The 21431-nt window shown below is 37.2% G+C and overlaps 1 protein-coding gene across 1 annotated transcript in view; it reads left to right on the top strand.

The window, feature by feature from the left end:
* Nucleotides 2113–21431, top strand: part of DRD3 (dopamine receptor D3) — a 71828-nt gene continuing 52509 nt past the window's right edge. Inside the window, 1 exon segment of the mRNA NM_001282563.2 lies at nucleotides 2113–2247. The gene's annotated coding sequence lies outside the window, so the exon portion shown is untranslated.

Raw genomic sequence — 21431 nt, 5'->3', positions numbered from 1 at the left:
TAAAAGAAACAAATCATTATTGTGATAATTAAAAACAGTCATAAAACAAATAACAACAGATTAACTGAAAGACAAAACTGAAAACACTGAAATTAGAGAAAACAGAAAGGTCAGTGACATCTGTAGGGGGCCTGGGGACAGTACTAGAGGACAACCCTGAGAAATCTTACCTAGAAATAATAAGGATCCTGGAAAGCAGGATTGAACAGGGGAACAAGTTGAGCTATGATGCTTCTCACTGTCTGCTTCACAGGAAGTACTACCTACAATACCTTAAAATAAAAAATAATTGCTATTCACCTTTTTTAAAAGTAAAAGTAATGCCACAGGTAACTCTTAAGTCAGAAAATGGTAAATAATCTGAAAGGTAATAACAAAAGTAATCTGTCTATAAAATCTCAGATTTTATTAATGAAATCCAGAACTTGGGAGAGGAAATATGAAGGAAGTAAATGAATGATAAATTTCTCATCCAACACAGTGAATACATATTTATTTATTTCTAAATAAAGCTATAAAATATAATCTTGTTTGAATCTTACAGTAAAAATAAACTGAAAGGAAACTTTAGGTGTCACTGAACTTCAGAAAATTATTTATTAAAAAAAAAAACTATTTCATCCAAAAATTTGTCTTTGAAGTTAAGGAAAACAATTTAAGAAAAAACATGGGCCGGGCTTGGTGGCTCACACCCATAATCCCAGCACTTTGGGAGGCTGAGGCATGCAGATCACCTGAGATCGGGACTTTGAGACCACCCTGACCAACATGGAGAAACTCCGTCTCTACTAAAAATACAAAAAATTAGCTGGGTGTGGTGGCACGTGCCTGTAATCCCAGCTACTCGGGAGGCTGAGGTAGGAGAATCGCTTGAACCCGGGAGGCAGAGGTTGCAGTGAGCCAAGATCGCACCATTGCACTCCAGCCTGGGCAACAAGAGCGAAACTCAGTTTCAAAAAAAAAGAAGAAGAAAAAGAAAGAAAAAGAAAAAACATGAAGGGGTTTAAGTGATTGTGTGAAGAGTCTTTCAACATGTGCTTAATGGGCATAAGTTTACGTTTTCAAAAGGCAATACTTAATCAACTGTCTTTAAGCATCTGAAGATACTACTAGGCCTAAACAACAACAGAAAAGTTTTTATTTTTAAAAACTTTGAACCCATGGAGGAGATAAATAGGGACAAGCTCCTATGAAAAAGAAAATAACCTATAAAAAAGACAAATTAGTTTCAAACAGGAAAACTAAATACATCACAGGAATATGATTAAATTTAGTAATTATGACAAGCCTAAAGAAAGTATACACGAATACCAAGCATTAGTTGTTCCTCTTCATCTTTCTGAATTATCTGAAATTTTGCTTTGTTATTTCAGAAAATACTGCTTTTTCATTTCCATCAATTGCTCATATCATGCAGTATAATTTACTTCGTTTTCATAACATAAATTTCTTATATGCATTTTCAGTTTTCTCTGAGTTTCTAATTGTATTTCTTTGTTGTTGCTGCTGGTGATACTTTTCATTTATAGAGATTTGTTGTTGTTGTTTTAACCTTCCTCTCACCAATAGTATACCTTGTACTTGCAGGTTCTTAACAATTCATAATACATCTATCTGCCTTCTCTTTGAAGACAACTTTCATGACTTTTCTTGTTTTATGTTATAATCTGAACTGTTTAATTTTAGGCCTTCTAATCAATTGTTACAGTAGAATTTCTTTTTATCTCATTCAGGGATTAGTTCCAATAGTTATTAACTCTCATAATGAGGGGAAAAATAAGTTAGTCAAAACTGACTTAGAACTGACACAGATATTAAATAGGCAGGTAAGGATATTGACATCATTATTGTTACTGTATTCTTTATATTTAAAAAGTTATGTAGAGGCATGCAAAAGAAAAAAAACACATTGAATTTTTAGACATAAAAATCATGATATATGCTATGGTTTGAATGTGTCCCCCAAAGTTTGTGTGTTGGAAATTTAATCCCCAATGCAACAGTGTTGAGAGGTGGGACTTTAAGGGCTGATTAGGTCATAAGGGCTCTGTCCTCATGAATGGATTAATGTTTCTATCACCAGAGTGGGTTAGCTATTTTGAAAGTGGCTTCATTATAAAAGCAAGTTCAACCTCCTCTTGCTCTCACCCTTTCTTGCTCTTCTGCCTTCCGCCATGAGATGACACAGCACAAAGGTCTTTGCCAGATGTCTGTGCCACACTCTTGGACTTCCCGGACTCCAGAACTGTGAGCCAAATAAATTTCTGTTCATTATAAATTATCCAGTCTCAGGTATTCTGTCATAGCAGCACAGAATGGACCAAGACAATATGGGAGATGAAAATGTTGTTGGATGGAATTAATGGCATGTTAGACATCATGGAAGAAAAAATTAGTGAATTTCACATGAAAACAAAAACTATCCAAAATGAAACAGTAAGAATTTTTAAATTCTATATAACAGGTATAATTTTTTGCTAGGCATAGTGGTTCACACCAATAATCCCCATGCTTTGGGAGGTTGAAGTGAGTGTATCCCTTGAGGCCAGGAGCTCAAGCCAGCTTAGGCAACATAATGAGACACTGTATTTACAAAAATATATATTTTTAAAATTAGCTTGGCATTGTGGTATGCACCTGTATAGTCCTAGCTACTTGAGAGGCTGAGGTGGGAGGATCACTTGAGCCCAGGAGTTCAAGGCTGCAATGAGGTATGATCATGCCACTATATTCCAACCTGGGCAACAGAGCAAGACCTTGCCTCTAAAAAAACAAAAACATATTTATATGTTTTGTAAATTAAGTGTAGCGGTGTGTGTGTATTTATTTATCTATAGATACCTATGTATCTATAGCTATAGACAGATTGGGAAATAAAAGCTAGCCAATTAGAAAGAAATAAAACTGTCATAATTTTCAGATAACATGGTAATCTATGTATAAAATCTACACCAAAAAATCTACCCAAAAAAAATCCTACTAGAACTAAATAAGTAAGGTGCAGAATACGAAATCAATCTATAAAAAGCAATTGTATTTCTATATAATAGCAACAAGCAATTGGAAATTGAAATTATAAACCAGGCTGAGTGTAGTGGCTCACACCTGTAATCCCAGCACTTTGGGAGGCTGAGGTGGGCAGATAGCTTGACCTCAGGACTTCGAGACCAGGTGAGGCGGGAGGATTACTTGAACCCAGGAGGCTGAGGCTGCAGTGCCCCATGATTGCACCACTGCACTCCAGCCTGGGTGACAGAGTGAGACTCCATCTCCAAAAAAGGAAAAAAAAAAACACAGAAATTATGAAACAATATCATTTATAATAGCATTAAGAATAAGACATTTTCTTAAAGATACATCTGACAAAAGATATAAAAGACCTGTACCCTAAAACCTAAAAAATATTGCTGAGAAAAACTGAGACCTAAATAAATAGATTTACTTTTGTTTATGTGTTAAAAGATTCAATATAGATTTATATAGAAGATCTATATAACTTGATCTGTAGAATAAATGCAATCCCAATCAAAATCTCTGCAGACTTTTTGGTAGAAAATAAGAAGCTGGTTTTAAAGTTCATATGGAAATATTAAGGAACGAGAATAGCCTGACAAATTTGAAAAACAAGAACAAAGTTAGAGAGGTCTAACATCACCTGACTTGAAGACATATATAGCCACAGTAAACAAGACTGTTTGGTATTGGTGTCAAGATAGACAAATATATTAATAGAACAAAAGAGGAGTCCAGAAATATACCTAGATAGATATGGACACTCATTTTCGATGAAGTTGCAAAGGCAATTCAATGGTGAAAGAATAACTTTGCCAACAAAAGTTGGTAGAAAACATGAAAATTATTATGCAAAATATGAACTTCAACCCATGTCTTGTACTATAAACAAAAACAAACTCAAAAGAAATAATAAATTTAAGATTAAAACCTGATAATACTAAACTTTTAGAAGAAAATCTTTGTGACCTTGGGTTAGGCAAAGATTTCTTATATGAGACATCAAAACACAATCCATTAAATGGAAAGTATTAGTAAATTGTACTCTATCAAAATTTAATACTTATGCCCTTTAGAAGACACTATTGGCCAGATGCAGTGTCTTATGCTTGTAATCCCAGCATTTTGGGAGTCTGAGGTGGGGAGATTGTTTGAGGCCAGGAGTTCAAGACCAGCCTGGGCAACATGGCGAGACCTCTTCTCTACAAAAAAAAAAAAAAAAAAAAAAAATTTTTTTAATTAGCCAAGTGCACCTATAGTCCTAGACACTCAGGATGCTTAGGCCGGGGGATCGCTGAAACCAAGGAGTTTGAAGTTACAGTGAGTTACGATCATGCCACTGCACTCCACCTGGACAACAGAGCAAGATCTTGACTTAAAAAAAAAAAAGGAAAAAGTAAATAAAAGACTATTAGACAAGTTAGTGGGTGCAGCGCACCAGCATAGCACATGTATACATATGTAACTAACCTGCACAATGTGCACATGTACCCTAAAACTTAAAGTATAATAAAAAAAAAAGAAAAAAAGAAAAAAATAAAAATAAATTTAAAAAAGACTATTAGGTGCATAAAAAGACAGACATAGACTGGGAAAAATATATTTACAAAGCATATATTAGATAAAAGACTTGTATTTAGAACGTATAATGGACTCTCAAAACTCAATAATAAGAAAACAAACATCCAATATAAAATGGGGGAAGGATTTGAATAGATACTACACTAACACAAAGATATGGAGATGGTAAACAAGCACAAGAAAAGATGCCCAGCATCGTTATTCATTAGAGAAACGCAAGTTAAAACCACTAGACCTCAGGTCATATCTATTAGTATGACTAAAATTTAAATGACTGGCCATACAAGGTTCAGTAAGGATGTAGAGCTGGAACATTTATGCATTGTTGGTGGAAATGTAAAATAGTACAGCCACTTTAGAAAACTGTGTGGTACTGGTTTATACCTATCACAGGACCCAGTCATTCCATGCCTTAGTATTTATTCACAAGAAAAGAAGCATAAATCCCACCAGGCATGGTGATGTGAGCATGTGGTCCCAGCTACTAGGTAGGCTGAGGCAGGAGGATTGTTTGAGCCCAGGAACTGCAGGCTTCAGTGAGCTATGATCATGCCATTGCACTCCAGCCTGGGTGACAGAGTGAGACCCCGTCTCTAAAAAAATAAAAATGAAAAAGTAGAAATAAAGTAAAATAAAAAGAAGCATATATCCATACAAAGATTTGTGTATGTATGTTCATAGCTGCTTTATTTGTAATAACCAAAAACTGGAAATTGATAAATAATGGGATACTACTTAGCATTAAAAAGAAGTGACTACTGATACAAACAACATGAATAGGAAATTACTAGGCCAAGTGAACAACAAAAACAGTTCCTATGTTACGGATAGCAATCCCTCTGCCAACATGGCCATCCTGCTCAAAATGTGCTCTTGTTGCACAAAGGTATTCCAAAGGTTACCTAGAGAGTCTAGAGTACAACAGGTATATTCCTTCCCTGGTTCTGTATACTTTTGTTTATACAGCCTAAAGTTGCACAGCTTTGAAGTTTTGTGGATGTCTCCTATATTTTAACCAGATTGCTCCTTTTAAGCTTGTGATCCAATCAACCATTCTCTGCCCAAGTCTTAGTCCCACAGTATTGTCAAGCCGGATCTCCCCAACTTCTTCTTATGTAAATGGGTGTTTTATATGTAAGTAAGATATTTTATAAGTTTAAAGTCTTATAATATTATAAATATAAATGCTTTATATTTAACCCTTTGGTATCCTAATTGCACTATTCAAAATGGCAATATACTGGCTACCCCTCCCCACTTTGAATGAACTTTAAACCTGAAAATAAAACTATATAGATGTTCAGTCACAAGGCCAATAACGTTTAAAAGTCAATTTATGTCTTATTCTCTCTATTTGCCATCTTCTGTTATTACATAAATAATAAAGAGTACTATGGAACTTAGTTGCTTTGCTTAGCTAAATTGTGAATAATGGAAATATTTTCATAATTTTATACATTTTACTATGTGATTTCAGACATTTAACATTTTCTCATTTTGATATTCACACTTTTTCCAGGGTATGTCAATCATCCTTGGCTATGCATAGTGAATCAGTACAATATCAGCCAGACATCCCTTACCTAGACTAGGGCTGAATGTACCTAGTCTTCATTTTATGGAGATTCTTTTAAGTATCTCCCAGTTGTTGAAAATGAGACAAAAACTAAACAAAAATAACTTACAGGAAATCACACTCTTCTCCTTAGAATTCAGGTACTCTACCTCAAGAAAATGTTTTACTGGTATTTAGTAGCAGATTTATAAGCTCCTCCATGGCTCCCATCTTCATCCACCTTTATTCTATTCCTCCCTGTTCCCCAAAAGGCCTAAAGTACTTGATAAGCCTCTGGCTCAGCCTCAAGTGGTTCCTTTTGAAAGAAAATCACTGATGAGTAGATTAGAGCTGATTGAAGATACCTGCCTGGGGGAATTTCCTATGAATTGAGAGCAGACAAGCTTCCCGTAAGTCTGGAGAAAGTTGTTTCTCCTTCACTGTTGATGACTAAGAAAAGCAGAATTTTCTCTGAACATTAGTAACAAATGACTTGACAGCAGGAGACTTTGTTTTACTTAAGTGGTTTCAAAAAAAAAAAAAAATCTTTGCAAGATGCCCAAGACCATGTCAGTCTTTCCCATGGAAGGAAGCAATGGTAGGAAGGGATGCAAGACAATACAGCACACTTGCCTTCAGAGTAACAGAAAAAGGCGGGTAGCAAGTCCAAGTTCATCACATGAAAAACTAATGACAGAATGTACCACATTTGTGTAAGATCAGAAAAGTCGGCATGCTCAACACATCTTTGAGATGTTGAGGACAGAAAGCTTAATGGATTCAGGATTCAGGGCACCTGCAGTGGCTCACACTTGTAATCCTAGCCTTTGGGAGGCCGAGGTGGGTGGACTACTTGAGGTCAGGAGTTCAAGACCAGCCTGGCCAACATGGTAAAACCCCGTCTCTACTAAAAATACAAAAATTAGCCGGGCATGGTGGTACACGGTTGTAATTCCAGCTACTTGGGGGGCTGAGGCAGGAGGATCGCCTGAACCTAGGAGGCCAAGGTTGCAGTCAGTGGAGATCATGCCACTGCACTCCAGCCTGGGTGATGGACTGAGACTCTGTCTCAAAAAACAAAAACAAACAAAAAATGGATTCAGGATTCAGAGGGTCCTACTATGGTGTGCCTTCTGAAACATAGCTAGACAAAACCACCAGTTGGATGGAAACAAAATGAGGAAACTGAATCTAAAACACTGACTTACAGGACTACAAAAATCACATTGGCTGTGTTATTTGGGGATATCATTTAGGATATGCCATCATAGTCCTAGAGGTAAGCAGGGATAGCAACTGATTGACACCTTGACCATATTTTATGAATTAAAAATCAGAGCACATGATCAGACAGATGTGAATTTATTTATAGGATAGAATATTTTAAATTAGAACTGACCAAGAGTGCAGAATGTGTAATGACAAAGGAATAAGGAAACAGGAAAATCTAAGTTATATCTACTCAGTGAATGAACATCATCAAAAAAAGCCAAATGAAACTGTTTTATATTTGCAAACTATATGTGTGTGCTCATGTATACTCAAAAACTTTAATAAATAAAAATTAAGATGTTTATTTTAATATTTCCTTTTCTGGAATTTGATATTCCATTCCTCTATGTCTTTAATGTAGGAAGGAATCTAAGTCCCATTATTAAATGCACAAAATCCCTAAGAAGGAGAGATAGCGTTTGGGGAAAAAAATGTGATTAGGATGCAAGGAAGGTATGTTATCTCCTCCTCTTCCTCCCTTACTCTCCATTCATAGGAGGTGGCCATATGCAATAGAAATGCTCTATATCTGCATAGTAGGTGAAATAGAAGTCCAGTATAGCCCCAGTTGACTCAGGAACTGCTCTGAGAAGCAGGGAGAGGGAGCCTTCAGGCTGGAAGAGCAGCCCTTATTTATTCAGGTCAGACGCTGTCTCTGACCCCATGGATAAGCATTCAACTGTTGGCTTGCCTCCATTTCTCATCTCATTCTGGTTGTTGTAGAGCTGGCAACTGTGAGAAATCTAGCACAGTATTTTTCAAACTATATGTTATGAAAGTTCTGTTGTTGTTGTTGTTGTTGTTGTTGTCGTTGTTGTTTTGAGACGGAGTCTCACTCTGTCGCCCAGGCTGGAGTGCAGTGGCGCGATCTTGGCTCACTCCAAGCTCCGCCTCCCAGGTTCAGGCCATTCTCCTGCCTCAGCCTCCCAAGTAGCTGGGACTACAGGCGCCCGCCACCACGCCCAGCTAATTTTTTGTATTTTTAGTAGAGGCGGGGTTTCACCGTGTTAGCCAGGATGGTCTCGATCTCCTGACCTCGTGATCTACCCGCCTCGGCCTCCCAAAGTGCTGGGATTACAGGCATGACCCACCAGGCCCGGCCTTCTTTTTTTGTTTGTTTTGTTTTGTCGCTTTTTTTTAAATTTCCAATCTACCTATAGGAAAGACGAAGTGGGGTAAAAGGGGGCATATAAGCCTAAAATTTAAATATTAAGTTCAACAGAAATAAAAGTATTTTGTCAAATTGCTATAAGTGTTTCTGATACTTACTCTCAATTTTTGTATCTACCTTATCTCAGACCCAGTTACAAAGTTTGCTTATCGCATCAATTGATAAACCACACTTTGATCTCTGGAGACTGTTCCATTGACAATTGGAATAAGTAGACATAAAATTTCATTAGTCAACCTCAAGCTTTAGGATTGGAAGCTCGATGAACATCTGTCATAAAATAGTCATCTGGGAGAGGTAATTGTTGTATGAGCTATTGAAGGCAAGTGTAATCACCAACAGAACTGAGGTTGAAGCAAAGAAAAAGACAGAGAACAATAAGGAGATGAAGAGAAATGGATTTGGAGGAGCACAGAGAAAAAATGTATCAAAATGTATGACCTACTTCAGAAATAAAAACAAGCATTATCAAGGCATTGAGAAATTGACTATACAGACCCTAGCCAGACAATACATAAATACAGAACTTTGGCCCACAATCTACAGCAAGCTACCCAGGAAACCAACCCCTTATCTACAATAAGCAACCAGGGAGCCAGACTGCTATAAATCAGACTTGCAGGGAGCCAGACTGCTATCTTCAGTGACAATCCAAGAAGCAAAACAATAATTTTCATAGCAATTGGTCCCAAGTGGCCAAGACTTGATTAATAACTGACAGCTTCCCTAATTTTTGTCCTCACTTCCAACTTAGGCCCAGTCAGAGAAAGCAAAATATGCACCTCTAACCAATCACAGAGGATAGTCTGCTTCTATAATAGTTAACCCACAGCTTCCCCATGCCACCAGCCTCCAATCAGGGCATACCTGAAGCCTTCCCTTTTTTTCCATTATAAAGCTTCCCCCTCCTCTCTCTGCCATTGAGCCTTTGCCAAAACACAAGTGATGATATCTGACTCCCTTACTATAGCAAACTCCAAATAAATAGCCTTTGCTGTCTTATTTGGTTGGTCTTCATTTATTTCTACAGCATGTTTCCTCTAATTGATTGATCCTCAATGCTCTTATAGAACTTCCTTAAGCATTTCAGAGAAACCAGCACACTCCTAATAACTGGATCCAATTCAATCACTATTTTGGCAGCTCCCTTTCCCTCATGTCCCACAATTTATCCATTGATAAGTCCTCATATATAACCCAATGTATTCACTCTTCCCCATCTCTAGTACTACCAGTGGAGTCCAGGGAGCCGCCAACTTGCTTCTGAGTTACCGTAACAGCCTCCCCACGCCCTGGCTTGCTCCTGCTGTAATCTACTCTCACACAGAAGAAAGAGGTACCTGCATATCAAATACATCATTTCTCTGCTTAAACCTTCAAAGGGCTTCCATCCCACTTAGAATAAAATGCAAACTCCTACACCATCTGGCATCTTCTCTCCCCAGCCTCACCTTGTTCCACCTCTCTTGTCATCCACTACACCCAGCAACACTGGCCTTTTCAAATGTGCCAATCGTGTTCCCATCTCAGGGCCTCTGCACAGCTGGGAATACTCTTCCCACTGACCTTTGCATGGTTGGCTGCCCCTTGTCTTTCAGATATGAGCTTATCTGTCACCTCTTCAGAGAAGCAAAGAAAGCACCAAGTCTACCATAGTCAGCCATTCACTGTCACCCAATTCTACCTCTCTGCATAATGTTCACCATTATCTGAGACTTTCTCGTTTTACTTGGTTTTATTCTCCACCTCCCTGTACCAGAGCAGAGATCTATCGGTCATGTTTATTCACTGTATTCTCTAGGCCCAAAACAGGCCTGTCATAGAATTAATTCTCAATAAGTATTTGTTGAACAAATGAACAAAGGGGTTCATGAATAAATGACTCACTGAACTGCCAGAGACTTTGGACTCTGGTAGGTAAAACTATTCTCTTTTATCATGCCCTAGCTTGAACGTAACTCCCATACCCTATAAGGCCCAAATCAATCCCCCGCTTCTCTGGAGAGTCTTCCTTTTCTACTCAGATGATCTGCCTTTTCCTTTTCCATACACACAGCTCTGACTGTTCAAAAGATTCATTTGGATTTGATCATATCCTACTTTGGGGTCTCCCTTCTAGTCCTGTTAAACTCTTTCCTTGCTTCTTAACTTAGGCAGATGTGCATGTTCTACCCTCCCAAACACATTGCTTTGTACTTCCTATAAAACAGTACCATGACATAGTGGAAACTCAGTAACTAGTTGTGTTGAATAAATTTTTAAATGCATATCAGGTAAAATTAGTATAACTATTGCTAAGCTGTTCAGGGCAGAGCCAACAACAGCATAAAGTCAAAAGAGATCTCAGAGCACTTCCTCAGGTCCACATGGCTTCCCTGTTGGGACAAGCCCATGTTTCCCATTTTCTGTTTATTGGTTTGCTCTGTAAAAAAAAAAAAAAAAAAAAAAAAAAAAAAAAAAAAAAAATATATATATATATATATATATATATATATATATATATATATATATATATATTATCCTTTTTCCTCTCTAGGATGCATTCTGTGCTCCAAAGGCAATAGTTATGCATGGATTGGGATAACATTCACTGAGGACATGCTTATAGGCCCAGTGGGCAGCCAGCCAGCAATTGCAGCTTGAATGACATATTTTTGCTTGGCAAAGAAAGAGCTGCTTCACCACCCCTGTGCTCAAATACCAGTTCACCTGGTTGGTGAAGGCTTCTTGCTATTTTATTGAAATTATACTTCTGCAAACTCATATATTAGTTGCTCCCCTAGAGTTTGGTTTGTGATACTGGCTCTATCTAAAGTATGTAAAAGAGCTAAAATTATGTTTTTATGAGTGAATTTTCAAAAAGAATCAGCAATTCCACAGGTTACTCCGGCTTTTTTCCCCATCTGCTGTGACAGCAGGTGTGATTTCACAAGCCCACTCCCATCAATCATCCTTTCCAACCTGTCTCTGATGCCTGACAAGGTGTTTATGTGCATAACATGGAAACCATCACAAGATCTTGCGAACAAATAAGGCTGCCTTTCAACAATTCTTTGAAGGAAGACTTCCATGGAAACCTAGGTGCTAGGTTCAAGGGTTCAGGCTGGGGAGTCATTCAATTGCCACAGTGTCACCTTCTTCCAGGGGTTGCAAACTCAAAGCCCTTCGGGGCAAGACAGGTACTAGAAAGGTATGAAGCCTCCTAGTGTCAAACAACAAGGAGTGGAGAAAACTGTGACCAAACTGAATGGTGCATGCTCTATCTAAAAAGTATTTGCATTCACTTTCCATAAAAATAGGCTGGCTAAACATAAGTTTTCTACAGGCATAATGTGGCCACCAATTTTCCATCTCTATGCCTTTATTAAGTCAGTTTCCTAGTCTGCGGCCCAAATACTTAAGCTTTTCAAAGGATCTTAGAATTCATAAAATCATGGACAATTGGAGCTGGAAATGATCATAGAATTTATTTATTCCAACTTCATCTTTTCCAAATAAGGGAACTGAGGCTCAAAAGACTGATAAACCAGCCAAAGCAAATGCAACAAGTATATAGCAAGGATATAGACAAAACTCCAGTCTTCAACTCCAAGTCTGATGATCTTTCAGCTACTTGCCATTGCTTTTCCTAATGTGTTGGTAATAATCTTACTCTTGATGTGTGCTTAATATAAATAATCCCTTTAAAGATATATTGCACTGATATTAATAGTAGTAAAAGGATCAAACGATATAGGCTGGATTAAAATGTTAAATCAACTGAATAAAAGAGAATTTAGTCATTAAAGATGATAACCATAATATAAAATGTGTACAAATATTATTTATAATTACTTTACATGGTAAAGATAGACTATAAAATTAAGATTTCAACTATGTAAAATATACGTACAAGTGGACAAAGACTAGAATAAAATTTGCAAAATGAAACTGGCATGATTATGTTGTTATTCTTTTTAAAATCATTGTAATGCTGCTATATTATTCTTTGGAGTGTTTCAGGTAATTCCCTTTGACAACATTACTTAGGGTTCATTTTAATCTTAAGTGTAGCCATTTGTCACTTCCTACAGTCTTCCTTGCTAGCAAAAATTCCACATTTTATTCAGGTGTCCCCTCTTTTCCTTTATGACTCAGGAATGTCCTAATAAATCTGTCAGCAGCAGTGCTCCTATTTCCTTTGCTGCTAATTGATTCAAGTATGGACATGTGATGTAAATCTGGCAAATGAAACGTAAAGAGAACTTGCCAAGGGACTTCTGGGAAAGAACTCCCTTAATGTTAAAAACAAGTCTCATTCTCCACCTCTGGATGTTGCACTGAGAATATGAATACGTGTAGCTGGTGCAGCCATATTGTGAACATGAGGCAAGTCAGCCCCAGGATAAGATCTATAAAAGCAGAAGTGTTGAAATGGGGCTGGGTGTGGTGGCTCACGCCTGTAATCCCAGCACTTTAGGAGGCCCAGGCGGGCGGATTACTTGAGGTCAGGAGTTCAAGGCCAGCCTGGGCAACATGGTGAAACCCCATCTCTACTAAAAATACAAAAATTAGCTGGGTGTTGTGGCACACGCCCGTAGTCCCAGCCACTTGAGGGGCTGAGGCACAAGAATCACTTGAACTTGAGGCGGAGGTTGCAGTGAACTGAGATCTCACCATTGCACTCTAGCATGGGTGACAGAGAGAGACTCCATCTCAAAAAAAAAAAAAAAAAAAAAGGGAAAAAAAGAAATGTTGATCCCTAATGAATTCGTGTGAAGCCATCTGCCTCTGGATTTTTTATGTGAGATAATAAACTCTTTATCATTTCATTCAATTGAGAAGGGGTTTTCTGTTATTTGCCAAAGCCCCAGCCGAAATAATAAACTTGATTCTCCAAGTGCACTTGGATACCTATATGGAGAGGGGAGATGCTCAGGTATTTGCTTCTCTTTTTCTCTTCCTAGGGCACAAGGAGCATGATTGTGTTGAATTATCTAGTGTCTCATTTCACGAGTTTGGTCATAATGAATATGAGGCACAATCCATTTGCCTGAGTTACCTGCTATGGTTCTATTAAGTACCCTAATATGACTAGAACCTTATGAACATCAGCACTTTTATATGGCATTTTTAAAACATAAGTAACAGTTTGAGCCAATTTGAGAGAGACATAGGGAAAATAAGATAGACAAGAGGAGAAAATGGACATTTCCAGGGATAGTGAAGCCATTCCAATAAAGCTGAGTTTTTGAACTCCCAAGAGTTCTAGTGATACCAAATGCCCTTCTTGGATAGTAATATTTGTCCCTTTTCAAACCAACTACTTTGTAATAGGCTGTCATTTTGCTTTACTCTGGGAATGACCACATTTCAATCATGGCAGTGCAGTAGGATATCTGAACATCAATGACAAGATTGCAAAGGAGTTGTGGAAGCAACAAAAGCTTCATTGAATTCAAGATTATTCTCATTAACATACAAAGTCCTACAAGTCCTGTCTGCTGGGGAGAACTGAACTTTTGAAGATTAGACAGTGTAACCCACAGAAAATGGATTGCAGATATACTTTATACATGCTGAGTATCTTGAAAAACAAGATATGAAGATAAAGCTGCTCCTTTGTGCTCTAGGGCAGAGATCAAACCATTATAAAGGCACTTAACCAAGAGAAGCACAGTGTGTGAACACACAAACCCCAACTTACGACAAAAATAATGATCGTTTATTTCTAATCTTAGAGAACATTTTTTAGACATTTGCAAAAAAAGAAAAGAAAGAAAACACATGACCTGTTCTTTGATGGAATGTTGTCAACTATGAAAAAGTTAAAGTGCCTCTACTACTCCTCCATCTTATTCCCCATGATACATGTCCCTAAATGCCTAGAATAAAACAGTTGAAACATGTCTCACCCAGTCTAGAGTCTCCAGGCAACTTTTGAGCCTCTAGATCTTCACTTTCTCAGACATTTCTACTTCCATCATAATAACACTTCCATATCTCTCTCATCTTCCATCTTCTATACACACAGTTCTCTGATTTCCAGGGGGAGCACTAAAAGCCAATGGAAAAAAGGGGATGATTTCAGAAATATGGTGGAGTAGGAAGCACCAGGAATCTGTTTCCCCAGCTAGACACAATTGCACTGGCAGAGTCTGCCTGATGTAATTATTTTGGAACTCTGGAATCTATTGAAAGCTTGCAACTTCCAGGAGAAGCCTTGAATGGTAAATTAAGTTTATTTTGGTCATGTCAGCTCTTAGCATAATAGCAATTACTCATTCTCCACTTCCAGCAATGTGGCATACAGCTATGTCTGAATTCTGGGAGCAGCTTGCAGGAGCCAGAGTGGGCAAAAAGAACCTTGTCCTCCAAATAGAGGGGAACTATGGTCTGATAATTGATTGCTCCTTCTGATCACAGAGATTCAGACAAAGGAGTATGCTACCACGGTTGTTGCACCTCCCCCACTGTTATAAGCCCCTCCCTGTCTGGCTGTAGTAACTTCAAGAAGATTTAGAGCCAGGTGCAGTGGCTCATGCCTGTAATCCCAACACTTTGGGAGGCCAAGGTGGGCAGATCACCTGAGGTCGGGAGTTCAAGACCAGCCTCACCAACATGGAGAAACCCTGTCTCTACTAAAAATACAAAATTAACCGGGCATGGTGGCACATGCCTGTAATCCCAGCTGAGATTGGGAAGCTGAGGCAGGAGAATCGCTTCCATTTTTTAAAAATCTACCTTTATTTTTCTATTTCCACCTTTTGGAAGTCAGACATTAAAGACTAGGACATTAAAAAACAATGCATATACAGGGAAAATTAGAAAGTGACTGCACTTACCTAGGGAAAGGTGCAGATTTAGAAAAGAAACCTTAAATTTGCACGTCAGGCTGATCCTTGACACAGAAACAGCACTTAACATTTTTTTAAAGTAGTAAACAAAACACTAACAAAAAAATATGCAAGCCCTGGAGAAGAGGGAGAATCTGATTTACAGAGTTACCACATTATTAACTTCAAATGTCTGTTTTTCAACAAAAAATTACAAGACACCAGCCTGGGCAACATTGTGAGACTCCACTTCTATAAATAAATAAATAAAATAACATTTTCCAGGCATGGTAGCCTGTAGTCCTAGCTACCCAGGAGGCTGAGGGAGGAAGATTGCTTGAGCCCAGGAGTTTGAGGTTACAGTGAGCTATGATCATGCCACTGCACACTAGCCTGGGTGACAGACCAAGCCCATCTCTTAAAAAAAAAATAAAATTACAAGGCACATGAAGAAACAGAAAAGTATGGCACATTCAATTTTTTTTTTAATTAATCAACCAAAACTATTCCTGAAAGAGTCTCAGTGGCAGATCTACTAGACAAAGACTTTAAAACACCTAACTTAAAGTCTCAAAGAACTAAAAGAAGATGTGGGAAAAGTCAAGAAAACAACCTATGAATAAAATGGAAATATTAGCGAAGAGATAGAAACACTAAAAAGAAACCAAAAAGATATTCTGAAGCTGAAAATATAATAACTAAAATTTTAAACTTCACTAGACAGATTTAAAGGCAGATTTAAGCAGGCAAGAAAGAAATCAGCAAACTTGCAGATACAATGAAAATTATCAGTCTGAGGAACAAAAAGAAAAACGATTGAAGAAAAGTGAACAGAGCCTAAAAGACATAGGAGACACCATCAAGTGAACCAACTAACACACTGTGACAGCACCAGAAAGAGAAGGGCTAGATAAAGGGTAAGGAGAATATTTGAAGAAATAATGGCAGAAAAGTTTCTAAATCTGATGAAAGACATAAACATCCAAGAAGCACAATGAACTTCAAGATGAACCCACACCAAGACTCACTATAATCAAACTTCTGAAATATAAGGACAGTGAATTATGAAAGCGCAAAAAAAGAACTGATTCATCATATGCAAGGGCTCTTTGGTAAGAATATTAACAAATTTCTCATGAGAAACTTTGGCCCATCAGGTAGTGGGACAACGTATTCAAAATGCTAAAAGAAAAAAATACCTGTCAACCAAGAATTTTATATCAGAACAATTGTCCTTCAAAAGTGAAGGAGGTCAGTTGCAGTGACTCACACATATAATCCCAACATTTTGGGAGGCCAGGGTGGGCAGATCACTTGAATTCAGGAGTTCGAGACCAGCCTGGCCAACATGGCAATACCCTGTCTTTACTAAAAATGCAAAAAATTAGCCAGATATGGTGACATGCACCTGTAGTCCCAGCTACTTGGGGGACTGAAGCAGGAAAAGAAGGAGAACATAAGACATTGCCAGATAAACAAAAGCTGAGGAGCATTACCACATTACCACTAGACTTTCCCTGCAAGAAATATTCAAGGGAGTCCTACAAGGTGAAATGAAAGGACATTAGACAGTAACTTGAAGCTGTATGAAGAAACAAAGAGCTCAATAAATGCAAGGACCTTTATAAAAGCTAGTAGTATTTTGCTATCTACATAATTTAAGAGACTAATACATTTAAAAGAAAACAATCATTAGTCTAAAAGCTAACATTATTGTAACTTTGGTTTGTGGCTCCATGTTTTGTTTTTTATATAATTTAAGAGACTAACGCATTTAAAATAATTATTAGTTTATGTTTGGTGTTACACAATATATAAAGGTATAATTTTATGACATTAACAACCAAAAAGAGTGAAGAAAGAATAGTAGAGGACCAGATATTTTATGTTATTGAAGTTAGACTGGTATAAACTCCAGTTAGAGTATTATAACTTTAGGATGTTAAATGTAATCTCCACTGCAACCAAAAAGAAATAGTTAAGGAATATAAACAAAAGGAAATAAGAAAGGAGATTAAACATTTCACCACAAAACATCAACTAAACACACACAAAAAAGAGTCATGCAGAGTGAGATGTGGGAAAGCTATAAGGCATATAGAAAACAAATAGCAAACAACAGAAGTAAGTCCTTCTTTATCAGTAATTTCTTTAAATGTAAATGGATTAAACTACCCAATCAAAAAACAGAGATCAGCAGAATGGATAAAAAACACATGATTGCTGGATATACTGTCTACAAGAAACTAACTTTAGATCCAAAGACACACACAAAAATAATAAAAAAGAGAAAAAGAAAACAAAGATACAATAGGTTGAAAGTGAAAAGATGGAAAAGGATATTCATGCAAATAGTAACCAAAAGAGAGCAGGAATGGCTAGACAAATATCAGACAAAAATGAATTTAAGTCAAAAAATTATGAAATAAAAAAGGGTATTATATATTAATAAAATATTTAATACAACAAGAAAATAGAGCAATTTTAAACATTAACATGCCTCATAACAGACGATCAAAATACATGAAGCAAAAACTGGTAGAATTAAAGAGAAAAATATACAATTCTACATTAATAGTTGGAAACTTTAACATTCCACCTTCAATCACAGATAGAACCACCAGACAGAAAATAAGTAAGAAAATAGAGGATATAAACAACACAATAAACCCACTAGACCTAAAAGACATATACAGAACACTCTACCCAACAACAATGATATGCACATTCTTTTCAAGTACACATGGGACATTTTCCAGGATGGGCCATATGTTAGGCCACAAATTGTGTCTCAATAGATTTTAAAAGACAAATGTCATACAAAGTCTTCCCTGATCATAATGGGAGGAAATTAGAAATCAATAACAGAGTAAAACTGGAAAACTCACATATTTGTAGAAATTAAACAACACACTTTTAAAGAATCAGTGGATCAAAGAATAAATTACAATGGAGGCATAATGCTCTTGAGGATGTGAAGATATTGGAACACTCATGCACTATTGATGGGAATGTAAAATGATACAGCTGCTGTGGAAAACAGTATGGTAGTACCTCAAAAAATTAGAAACAGAATTACCACATGAACCAGCAATTCCATTTCTGGATATATATCTAAAAGAGCTGAAAACAGGATCTCAAAAAGATATCTGAACACCTATGTTCATAGCAGTGTCATGCACAATAGCTAAAATGTGAAAGTAATTTAAGTGTCATCCATAGATGAACAGAAAAGCAAAATGTGGTACAATTGAATATTATTCAGCCTTGAAAAGAAAGAAAATTCTGACATATACTTCAATATCAATGAATTTTGAGAACATTATGCTAAGTGAAATAAGCCAGTCTGAAAAAGACAAATATAGTAGGATTCCACTTATATGAGGTACTTAGAGAATCGCTTAAACCTGGTAGGCTGAGGTTGCAGGGAGCCGAGATTGCACCACTGCACTGCAGCCTGGGTGACAGACGGAGACTCTGTCTCAAAAAACAGAAAAAGAAAAAAAGAAAAAATTAGATGATGATGGAGGGTAGTAAAAAACAGGAAGAAAATAGGTCGAAAAGTTAAGATAGAAGTAGAAAAGGGAGGTAACATGCAAGCACACAGAAGGGTAGATGCAGATATAAAAAACCACTATCATTTATTTATTTCCTTCCTTACTATTACTCTGCTACCTATAATGAGTGATTTGGTACAAATCTGATTGATTGAGAAGCCTCCTTCTGTTATTTCCTGCCATTCTCTTGTAGAAAGGAAGAAAGTGGTGCTCAATATTAGATAATAATAAGTGAGTTGAACTATTTTTCTTTCAAGAACTGTATTACAGCAGCAGAATGAATTCAAACATAAAACCTAACACTTTCTCAGATGGTTCTCATCTATCACCAGATCTCATTGGAGAGGAACAGGGGCTAAGGTTGAGAAGAAATAACCATACTACTGGACCACTCACTGCATTTGCCAACTTTCATTTACACTTTTACAACTTGAGGTCTGATTCCAGTGAAAAACATACTGAGAGGCTCTTGTTCAGACCAGATCAGTATCATGCAGTTTAAGATCATCATGATAATCAAATCTTCCAGTTCACAGTAAGGAATGCCAGTTATAATAAGACATGGAAACAAAATGTTCCTTTATTCATATAGGTCCTGCAAATTGCCTCCCCATAATGCTTCATTTAGTCTCCATACTGTCCTAGTGAGTGGGAACTCAGTGGGGGTTTAAAGTGGTGTACTCAATGGTCGGTGCTCAAGGCAAGGTTTCTTGTATCATTCCCTGGAACAGCATTTCAAAGACAAGAAGAGAATAGTCCCACCACAAACTTCACATCAATTTCCTTTCAAACAAAATCACTGAGTAACCATATGTATCAGAAGCCCACCATCTCTCTTCTCTTGCTCTAGACTTGCCACTTCAAGTTGAAAACATAAAGACTTTCCCTGATGAAGGGCCATTGGCTAGTACATGAGAATGTTCCAGCCATGCTATTGAGATGGAGTTTCTGGAAGGAAGATGAAAAAAATGATCTATATTTTTCTTGATTTCTGCCCAGGCATATCTCTTCTGTAGGCATCTTGGAGTTCTTCCCAGAAGGCATATCTCAATGCCAATCATGAATAAGGGTTCCACTTACTTAAAAGAATAAAATTGTTTGTTGTTGTATGAATGGGAAGTGCCAGATAAAAGGAGCAATTGCTAATCTTCACCTATAGTGAAGTCCAGAGAGAAAGGATCACTTCATTTACCCTGCTTCTCTTCTATTTCCACACCAATCCCTCCCCATTCACCACGGGGGTCAAGGAGTCTACCAGAGACAGCTAAGTCAGAACAGAGTTGACTGCCTAGATGTGTGATTTTAGGCATGTCAGTTAATTTTCCTGTCTCTTGTTCCTACACAGAATTAGAGTCTATATCACTCTTTATCTTCCTTTTACTTTTGCCAAAGGAAGGCACTAAAAACATGCTGAGGAATATCTTGCCAGCATTTACAACTGCCCTTGAAGAGAGAATATGTGTTCTCAACACAGAAAGTTAGAAATAGGGTTCTTCCTACTACATTCACGCATTATCAAGATAGCATTATCATTAGGCACAATGTCTTCAAATGTTAAAGAAAATAAACATAGGATACTGAAACGTGAAAACCATGTTGCTGAAAATGAGTGATATGAGGTTCTTAACTCCTTAGAAGGCCTTTGCTTCATTCTGCTCACATAACAGCCTGACATTACTCCCTGCTTTTATATGTCAGACAAGCCAAGTTTTAGCAGTGCATATTCTCTTGGTCCCCTTATCCAAGGGAAGAAAAGCCTTGGAGTTCACATTCAACCCAGGAGTTCTAGTCTTAGGGCATGTTCAATATAGTTATGTCATATAACTAATACATTTATGCCCAATAAGTTATGGGCAACCTTGGATATGGAACCTAACCTCTCTAACCCTCTGTATTAGTTTGCTAGGGATGCCATAACAAAATTCCACAGGCTAGGTGAATTAAACAAGAGAAATTTATTTTTGCACAGTTTTGAAGGGTAGAAATCCAAAATCAACAGGGTGGCAGGTTTGGTTTCTCCTGCAAGACCCCTCTCCTTGGCTTGCAGACAGATGCCATCTTCCTGTGTCCTTTCCTCTGTGTGCACATTTCTGGTGCCTCTTCTTTTTCTTATAGGAAACCAGTCATATTGGATTAGGGCGTACCCTCCAGGCCCCATTTTAACTTAACTCACACTTCAAAGATCTTACATCCAAATACAGTCATGTTCTAAGGTTAGGGCTTCAACACTTGAATTTTGGAATGACACAATTTAGTCCATAACAGCCTCTATAAAGATGGCATCATGAAGACTGATGTAATATAATTTACAGAATGATTTCTAAATCATCTAAATGATTTCTAAATATAATTATATACAAATGTATTATTAATATTATTATTACTGTCATAATTATTATTCTCTCTGACATATTATCAGTCTTTTGGGAAGTTTAAATTTTCTTCTTTTGGAAGACTATACCATAGTG

This window comes from Homo sapiens, chromosome 3 (assembly GCF_000001405.40).
Source record: "Homo sapiens chromosome 3, GRCh38.p14 Primary Assembly".
Classification (NCBI taxonomy): Eukaryota; Metazoa; Chordata; class Mammalia; order Primates; family Hominidae; genus Homo; species Homo sapiens.
The sequence above is the reverse complement of the archived record's forward strand: the minus strand, read 5'-3'. Positions and strand labels throughout refer to the sequence as shown.